Source organism: Homo sapiens, chromosome 5 (assembly GCF_000001405.40).
Source record: "Homo sapiens chromosome 5, GRCh38.p14 Primary Assembly".
NCBI classification, from domain to species: domain Eukaryota; kingdom Metazoa; phylum Chordata; class Mammalia; order Primates; family Hominidae; genus Homo; species Homo sapiens.
In genome coordinates, this window is record NC_000005.10 from 42,289,092 (window position 1) to 42,299,060 (window position 9,969).

Here is a 9,969-nt window from a genome sequence, read left to right on the forward strand (position 1 = left end):
GACTCTTGATATTTTAGTGTCCTATACTGATCAGTGAAAATGGGGAACCCCTTGATTCTTTGCTAGTTTCAAACTTCAGGCCTCCTTTACATGACCCACACATGAAAGTTAGCTGTGTCTGAATTTCAGAAACCGTAACAAGCATAACTTCATATTTTATATCTTTTAAATTTTCTATTTAGATTACATTCCTATAGAAATTAATTTAGAGTAAAACTAACATGTCAGCACTATGATGACTACTCCAAAATTTATATTTCTATCCTGTTTTTTCTTCCAGCTCCAACTGCATATTCCAATCTGCCTGCTGGACATTTTCTCATGGGAAGCCTGCCGGAGTCTCAAACTCAGCACATCCAAATTCAGTTCAGCTTCACCTCTGCTACCTCTTCGCCTCATCTGCAAGCAGGCTGGAGCTCTTTTTCTGATAAAGAAACCACCATCCTCTGAGTCAGGTCAGCAAACTACAGCCCACAGGCCATGTTCAGCCCACTGCCAATTTTGTAAGTAGAGTTTTATTGCGATATAATCCCACTAATTCATTTACATATTATCTATGGCTGTTTTAAAACAACCGTGGCAGAGGTGAATAGATGTGACAGAGGCTACATGGCCCACAAAGCCTAAAATATTTATTATCTGAACCTTTACAGAACAAGGTTGCTGATACCCACTCAAAATCAACTAGGATTAATTTCTCAAAATTAAATTAAACTTACCACCCCCTTCTCATCTCATCAGCTCCCTGCCCCTTTCAGTGTTACTACTACCGGTGTTTCTCACAATTGTCTCCCTGATTTAACCAAGTCTAACATATTTCTGGACATTCTGAAGACTGTTAACATGGTTTCCCCCAGCTATACCCTTGCAAATCTGTCCAGCTTCCATCTCTATTCCTGGTGATGTTACAATTATCTAAAAAAAAAAAAAAGAGAGAGAGAGATAATGAGACTAGAGGCAGGGAGGACCATTCTAGAGGCTTTGTTCAAGCTATTTTTCTACCTATTATCAGCCCCAGCTTTTAATCACTGTTCTATGCTCAGCTATGACACCCTCTCTGATTTCTCCCAGTCAAGTCTGCCCTCCTTCCGCTGGACTCCGATAATAATCCTAATCTCTCCCATAATCCTAACCTCTGCCATTTATCCCTTTCTAACTTGGGTGGCAATACTGCAGAATAAAGGTCCAAGATTTGTTATGAGTAGATTGAGTACAGGTAGTAATTCTCCTCCTTTACTGCCCAAGGGATGGTCAGCAGTCCCCTCCTTTTCCTAGGTCTCAGATTCTTCACATACAATTTGGTAACACCTTAGGAAGCAGATGAAGCTACTGTAAACTGTAAAGTGCTAAAGACATGAAAAATAACAGTGGTGTGGTATTTAGTAGAGATTTATAACTGGAAGAAACACTTCAGGTCCTATAAGTTTTCAGAGTGAAAACTTTGTTGTTTGTGTCCATTACTGGACTATGAGATAATAAGAGGGCAGACAGCAATTGTTCTTTGTGCATTTTTATATCTTCAGCACATAGAGTACTCAGTACATGGTTATTATATCAAATTGTCCCATTGAAATGAATACAAGATCTGATCATAATAGCACTGATTATTTGTAATACATGCACCAAAAATTATGGTTCAGCTCATATTATTTCTCTCTCAATAATGACTTTAGAATATTCAAGATACTCAAGGATATTCAAGTGGCATCTTAAATTATATTCTCATTGATCAAAATAATTTTGAAACTCCTCTTTTGAGTCCCTTGACAAGGATATGGCACATTTTTATAAGACTATCTTGAGTGTCAGAAAATATTCATTCTATGAGGATGAATTTATTTTTAGGAAAATAACAAAAATGATTACAAGCCAAGTATGATTAATAAGGTGATTTATCACAATACATGATAATAAGTTAGTTAGAAATGACACTTTAGAATGAAATAATAAAAATGATATTATTTCTTGCAAGCCTGATTGAAAAGCAAGTCCAATACAGAAACATTTAAACGTTTGAAGCAACAGAAACAACATTGCAATAAGCACTTATTTTGAAGCATTCAGGATTTCTTTGGAAGGCTAAGAAGCATCTTTGTAAAATTCTAATCCACTCCTTTAGAGTCACTCATCTTTCTGCTAATGAATAATCCATGATAGCCTGCTCCAACTGACAAAGTTGACTAGATGGAAATCATCGAGTACAGAAATTTTGGTAAGGAATCTGGTCTGGCCTAACATCGCAGAATTTTCAGATAATTTGATAGTAGGCAAATATTGACTTTGTTTTTAAGTGCATCTCTGGGCCTAATTCTCAGATCACAAACCCCTCCTCCATCATGATTCCTATTGGTTCTCATAACCCTCTCACAGTGCTAACATCATAATTTATATCTCTGTAGCCAGGAATCTCTGACATATCTCTCTGTACCTTCGAGTCTTCCAGATATTTTTCTGCCCAGTCCTGACTTCTCTCTAGAGCCATACTGTCCAATACAGGAGTATAGTAGACATCCTCCCCTACAAGGATGTCTGCATCTTCATCCTCAGAATCTGTGACTACATTTTGTTACATGGCAAAAGGGACTTTGCAGATGTGATTAAGGACCTTAGGATGAGGGGGAAATTATTCTGGATTATTCAAGTGGGCCTACTGTAATCATAAGCATCCTTACAAAGGAAAAAAAAAGAGGCAGGAGAATTAGAATCAGAGAAAAATAATTGGGACAATGAAATCAGACATTGCAGTGATGTGGCCATGAGCCAAGGAATGCGGGCAGCCTCCAGAAGCTGAACAGATTATCCCTGAAGTCTCTGAAAAGAGCACAGCTCTGCCAACACCTTGATTATAGCATCATAGGACTCATTTTGGACTTCTGACCTCAGAACTGTAAGATAATATATATGTGTTGTTTTGAGTCACTGCATCCATAATGATTTGTTATAGCAATAATGGGAAACTAATACAGGCAGCCATTGTTCTCATGGTGCTATTTAAATTTAAATAAATTATAAGTTTATAAAATTAAATCCCTCACTCTAGTTATATTTCAAGCCCTCAATAGCAACCTGTGACTGATGTCTACCATATTGGACAGCACATATCCAACAGCATTGAATTGTGCTGTTATAGAGGTCACTTCGATTTATCCCAGATATCTCACCACTACTATAGATTTAATAAAGCTAAACCAAATGCCTCCCCTTTAATTTTAAACCTCCTTGTCAATAGTGGTGTCCCAGAAGGCTATCCTAAGCAGTAGACACTATCTTGGCTCAAAAAGTTGTTTGTTTGTTTGTTTGTTTGTTTTTGAGACGGAGTCTCACTCTGTCACCCAGGCTGGAGTGCAATGGTGCGATCTCAGCTCACTGCAACCTCCGCCTCCCAGGTTCAAGCAATTCTTCTGCCTCAGCCTCCTGAGTAGCTGGGATTACAGGTGGCCGCCACCACGCCTGGCTAATTTTTTGTACTTTTAGTAAAGATGGGGTTTCACTATGTTGGCCAAGCTGGTCTCGAACTCCTGACCTCATGATCCACCCGCCTTGGCCTCCCAAAGTGTTGGGATTACAGGCATGAGCCACTGCGCCTGGCTTGAAAAGTTATTTAATGCAGTTTTTTTCAGGAATCAAATGACAGCCTCAGATAAAAAAAGGAAGAGGTGGCTCAGTTTCACTGCAAGTTGTGCTCTTTATTATCATTGGCCACAGAAAAACACATTATAAAATCATAGAGAATGTTCAAGTGGGGTGGAACTTTACAGATCTCATGAGGAACCTCTCCTAGCTTTAATTTCAAAGATTTTTCTTTTCCTTTCTATACTGCTGTAAGAGTTGGGTTGTTTGATTATTGATGTGCTGACACTGTTTTTAAAGCAGAACATGGGATCAATTTTATTTGTGATAATATATCTTGATAAAATATAAGGATACAATATTACAATATCTTGGTATCCTAAGACTAAAGGGAGACGTGATGGACTTTTGATTATCCAATTATGCTCTGAGTAGAATAAAAACTGGAATAACAATTTCTGGAATTATTTTCCACTGCATCCTACAAAAAAGGAACCTTTGTCTGATTAGAATTTCTTTGATGTGTGAGAACACTTTACATTTAAAAAAGTAGCTGAGAGCCATTAAGCAGTAGCTGAAACCAACTAAATTTTATTCTCATTTAATATGTTTCTGCCACAGGACACTTTCTCCCCACAGTAAATACAAACTAGGAAGACTTGCTGTCTTAAGAGAAATAAGACAGTCAAATTCATTCACAAAAACTGAGTTGAACATGATGTGCTAAGCAATGGAAAACGTTCTTTGAAAGGTTATGAAATACCTAGTTAAGTAGGACAATTATATAAAAAGTTTATAGAAATCCATATTGTAAGCCTTATTAATACAAACATTTGTCAACACACATATGATTATGGAAAAAGACCATTACTGTAAGTACCTACTCCTAGTTCATCTATTTTTATATAGGTATAGCACTGTCTTGTGACCTTTAAAAATTTCTTTAGACTTTGTCACTTAAATAGTATTTTCAAATAGCATTTTCCAAACTATCGCCACATATTTATCTTACAATAAATTCATAGTTTTTTCTTTTAATGGAAATAAATGTCATTGCACCTTTGTCCTCAAATCTGTTCTCTGCACTCTCCTTGTTCCAATATGGACTATTGTATACTCTGTTCCCCAGGCTGTCTTACCTTCCACTTAAGTTTGGCCACTCAGAGGCTGTGGCAGGAGATTGCAGGGTTGGAGGAGGGGAGAAACCACACTATTTCTCTACTGCCCTCTGCTTCAGGTGACATATCTACCAGTGGCTGTGTCTTTTTCATTTCTAGTATCTAGCTACCCCGTGTTTTCCATGAGATACTCCTGAATCATTTAAATAAATGCCTACTGAAGTTTGAGTGTATTTTTATCACCAGTTATTGCAATGACCTTGTCCTGGACACTTTCTTAATTTTTCTAATGCTTAACCATACTCCAGTGTATCATCAGACACTCACCTTCTTCAGCAGGAAGTGATTTATCATTCTCTGGCCTTATAGTAAATGGCAAGAGGAAAAGTTGATTTACCCTATGAACGTCAGTTCATGTATTTTCATAACAAGCTTATTTTTCTAACTCTGAGCTAAAAAAAAATGGTTCCATCTTTCATGTGTTCCCATATCTTATAATTCCCCAATGACTCTTCATAGAAGACTATTGGAGAAAGCCTATTATAATTCATAATGGAGCTGAGGAAGAAAAATTGGAAGTCATTAAATAGCCTTAGTATAGGTCACATGAGTGGAGATGAATTTCTAAACTCTTGAAGAAAAGCATAAAACTAGTATTTTACATTATTTTTTGTTTATATGTTTCTAGGAGCTATTAGTGCCTGGACAGGATCAGTTGCCTTCAATAATTGTTTTACTACATCAGTCATAGGACTCTGCCAAAATGCTTTCACCTATAAAAAGTGATCACTAGTTGTAAGGATCCTTTTCTCAGGCCCAGGCAGGGGTGAGGCTTGAGGGACAGCATTATCCGAGTTGAAATACATATGCAGATTCCTAAGTATTTCAAGGCAAAGTAGAAGGCAAAGGTGGTTCCTTTGAACTAGGTGTATATCTCCTGCGGATATGATAAAAGAGATAACTGGGAGGAGGGAGAAAAAGGAAAGTCTTATATGGAGCTGAAGAGTACTAACTAAAAGGACAGGAAAAAGGCTTCCGCTTCTGACTATTAGTGAGTTATCTCATTTTATATCAAGTCTCCCAATGAAAACAACTATAAAGCTAAATAAAATATTTTTAAGGAAATTTGCTTGAAGGCATAAAGACTTGGAAGGCCATGATTCCAGAAAGATGTTCAGAGAAAAAAGTGCAACACCTAGCTCTGCTCTTCTTTTCTAGGTAGAGTATTTCCCCACTATTCAATGGAGATACGTTCTCAGTGGATGCCTGAAACCACAGGTAGTACTGAACTCTAAGCATACTACGTTTTTTCCTATACATACTTACCTATGACAAATTTAATTTATAAATTAGGCACAGTGAGAGATTAACAATTGAAACCAAGTGCTAGCCTGATTAAGCCTGTCCAACTTAACCCAGCTTGCCTGTTTTTAATTGCTTACTTCTAGTTGATCTTAAAACTTACAGCTAAAAGTCATATCGCCAAACAATATATAACTAAACTCCCACTAGCTTCCTTGTAGATAACATCTCTGACATACATGTATGGTAACAGTTGCTTAAAGCTATTTTTCAGGACTTTGAGGGCTGCTCTTATTCAGTTCAAACTAGTTGGAACCACTGACCTGCCAAATGGCCTGTTAAGGTGACTGAGGAGTGACCTTTTGACATCAGAAGGCCCAGAAGCCCACTCTCATATTATGCTAATGCCACCGTTTTTTGAACAAGCATCAGGGTTCTGCAAGTGTAATCAAGCTACATGTGAAGAACCACATGGCTTGATTACATTTGCACAACCCTGATTTTCTTACCTTTCCTACCTGCAATAACCTTCTCCATGCTTTAGACGGCCCCATTTTTTTGTCCCATAAGTATCCTTAAGGCCTATTTTCAGAGAAGTGGATTTGAGAGTTGTTCTCCAATCTCCTTGCTTGGCAGCCTCACCAATAAACCTCTTTCCTTTGCAAAATCTGTCATTACGGGGATTGGCTTGCTGTGTGCTGGCAGAATGAGCCTGGTTTGGCATCACAGTAACTAATAATAAAATAGAACAATTATAACCATATACTGTAATAAAAGTTACATGAATGTCTCTCTTTCTCTCTCTCTCTCCCTCTCTCTCTCCCAAAATATCCTGTTGTATGTAATATTTTCAGACCATGGTTGACCATGGGTAACTGAAACTGCAAAGAGCAAAACCACAGATAAGCGGGGACTAATGCATTTGACAATTCATACATGGAGCTAACAGCCTGGGAATCTGGTGAGGGTTTGGCAGTCTCGAGGGATAGAGAAGGAAAAAAAAAATTGAGGTCTGCTAAGGAGGAGAAACCCTAATAAATTATTTCAGGTTTTCAGTTGGGACTCCTAAATAACAAAACCCAAGTAATAAAGGAAATTGACCACCTCCCTGTTGACTCAATTAAAAACAGATGAAGTGACCTGCCCTCATCTGACTTTCTTCAAGAAGCAAAAAAAATTTTTTTTTTAATTTTTCTGGCTGGGCCCGGTGGCTCACGCCTGTAATCCCAGCACTTTGGGAAGCCGAGGTGGGCATATCACAAGGTCAGGAGATCAAGACCATCCTGGCTAATACGGTGAAACCCTGTCTCTACTAAAAATACAAAAAAAATTAGCTGGACGTGGAGGCAGGCACCTGTAGGAAGCTGAGGCAGGAGAATGGCGTGAACCCATGAGGCGGAGCTTGCAGTGAGCCGGGACGGTGCCACTGCACTCCAGCCTGGGCCACAGAGCGAGACTCTGTCTCAAAAAAAAGAAAATTTCTGAGGAGAAAAATAATGTGATCCAGAACCTCTAATTATCTCTTCAATTTTCATACACAATGTTAAGCATACACTCAATTGCCAGGCACACAACAACACAAGGACAAATTATCTAAAACCTAGAGAAAAAAGAGATCATGAGAAAATGACTACCAATGAATAATTTCAGTAGAGAACTAGAACCTATTTTTTTAAAAGACTCAAATAGAAATACCAGAACTAAAAAAATATAATAACCCAATAGACAGTTTATAACAGAAGATCAGGCATGGCAGAAGAGAATATTTTTCAAACTAAGATATAATCCCAGTTTGTTATATTCAGACTTAAGTACAGAAAGAAAAAATGATACAAATATAGAAAGCTATTAAGAGACATATAGGACACAGAGAGGTCTAAAACACACAATTTTAGTTCTAGTAAAAGAAGAGAGAGGATGAGTAGAAGCAATATTAGGTGACGATGGCCAAACATTTTCTGAAATTAATGAAAGACATCAAGCCACAGATTCAAGAAATGCTGCAAATAAACAAGATAAATATAAACAAAATCTACCTAGGCCTATCATAGTAAAATCACTTAAAATCAAAAGAAATATCACTGGGTCAATTGGATATTTAAATGCAAATAAAGGACAGAAAAGATGTTGAACCCTATTCAATAAAATGTATATAGAAAATATCTTCTCCCATAATCTTTTCACTCTTTTAATGATGTCTGAGTATGAGTTCTTACTTTTATGCAATTCAATTTACCAATCTTTTCCTTTTATAGTTAATGCTTTCTATAATCTGTTTAAGAAAACTTTGGTGATTATATGGTCATAAAAACATTCTCCGACCTTATGGAAGATTTGAAGAACTAAAATTAAGTAGTTTTTAAAAAATTATGTTATTACTATAATACATTAGAAAAGAAGGGTAAAGAGAAGTCACCAAGCCACTTTAATGAAAAGCTGCAGACCTGACCTAACTGAGATGGGGCTGGTGATAAAAAGACACTGCCAACTATGACACAATAACAAATTGTTTCTTTGATGCCCCTACCCAACCTGGTCAAGGGCAAAGGGCCTGGACTGACTACTTTCCTAGGTGTAAGTTTATTAATTTGCTCCCCAAAATGTAAAAGAAAATTTGTTGGTCCCAGACTGCCCCTGAGAGTTTGGCAGAGGCTTCATTTGGATGGAATTGCTGCTAGACTTCTCTTTCTACTCAATTTGGCTTCATTTCCTTACTCTTCCCAGACATTGACCCCTGACAAACACTTTGTGCCTCAAAGCCCATCTCAGTGTCTACCTCAAGAGACTCTATGCTCTAACACTAGTTTGCCAGCTACCCCCACTTCAAAAAAAAGAGGGCAAAAATAAAACTTACTATTCTTGGACTTTCTGCAGATTTCTCATTTTCTCTATTTTTATAAAACCATGCTTGTGTTATGCACATGTATATTCATTGCAGCACTATCACAATAGCAAAGACTTGGAACCAACCCAAATGTCCATAAATGATAGACTAGATTAAGAAAATGTGGCATATATACACCATGGAATACTATGCAGCCATAAAAAAGGATGAGTTCATGTCTTTTGTATAGACATGGATGAAGCTGGAAACCATCATTCTCAGCAAACTGTCACAAGGACAGAAAACCAAACACCGCATGTTCTCACTCATAGGTGGGAATTGAACAATGAGAACACTTGGACACAGGGTGGGGAACATCACACACCGGGGCCTGTCGTGGGGTGGGGGGAGTGGGGAGGGATAGCATTAGGAGATATACATAATGTAAAAGACGACTTAATGGGTGCAGCACACCAACATGGCACATGTATACATATGTAACAAACCTGCACATTGTGCACACGTACCCTAGAACTTAAAGTATAATACAAAATAAATAAATAAATAAATAAATAAAATAAGACCATGCTTGTGTTTACTGATAACAGTCTAATGACAGATATCACTTGTACATATGTGAGTAAAATATTTTTATGCCAATACTAACTAAAAACCTAGCAATTGTTCTTTTACACTACAGATTTGGAGAAAGAAAAACAAAATATATACATGAGCCTTTACAAATCTATATAATAAATACATAATGCAAAAGAAAACAGGCAAAATATTCATTAGATACTTCACAAAGTAGTATACCAAAAGGACAACAGATGCGAAAAGGTGACCAAAATTATTAGTCATCAGTGTAAATTGAAACCACAATGTAATACCACTAGACATCCAACAAAATGGCTAAAAGTTAAAAGCTCAACTATAACTGTGTTGGTAAGGATATGGAGCAACTAAAATACTCATACAATGTTAATGGAAATATAAATTGATTCAAACATTTTAGAACATTATTTGGCAATATCTACTAAAACATACCCCATGACCCAAGTATTCTACTACTGAGGATATACAAAACAGAAATGCGTGCATATGTTTACTAAATGACATGCACACGAATGTTCACAGTGGTTTCATTTAAAATAA

General features: G+C 37.1%; 1 annotated feature.

The window, feature by feature from the left end:
- Positions 1,286 to 1,455: an enhancer, noted in NCBI's record as "experimental_85179 CRE fragment used in MPRA reporter constructs". NCBI's record gives its function as "activates a minimal promoter by MPRAs in K562 erythroleukemia cells, with activity observed for both the introgressed and non-introgressed 5:42290564 variant alleles {active_cell/tissue: K562}" and the evidence as "EXISTENCE:reporter gene assay evidence [ECO:0000049][PMID:34662402]".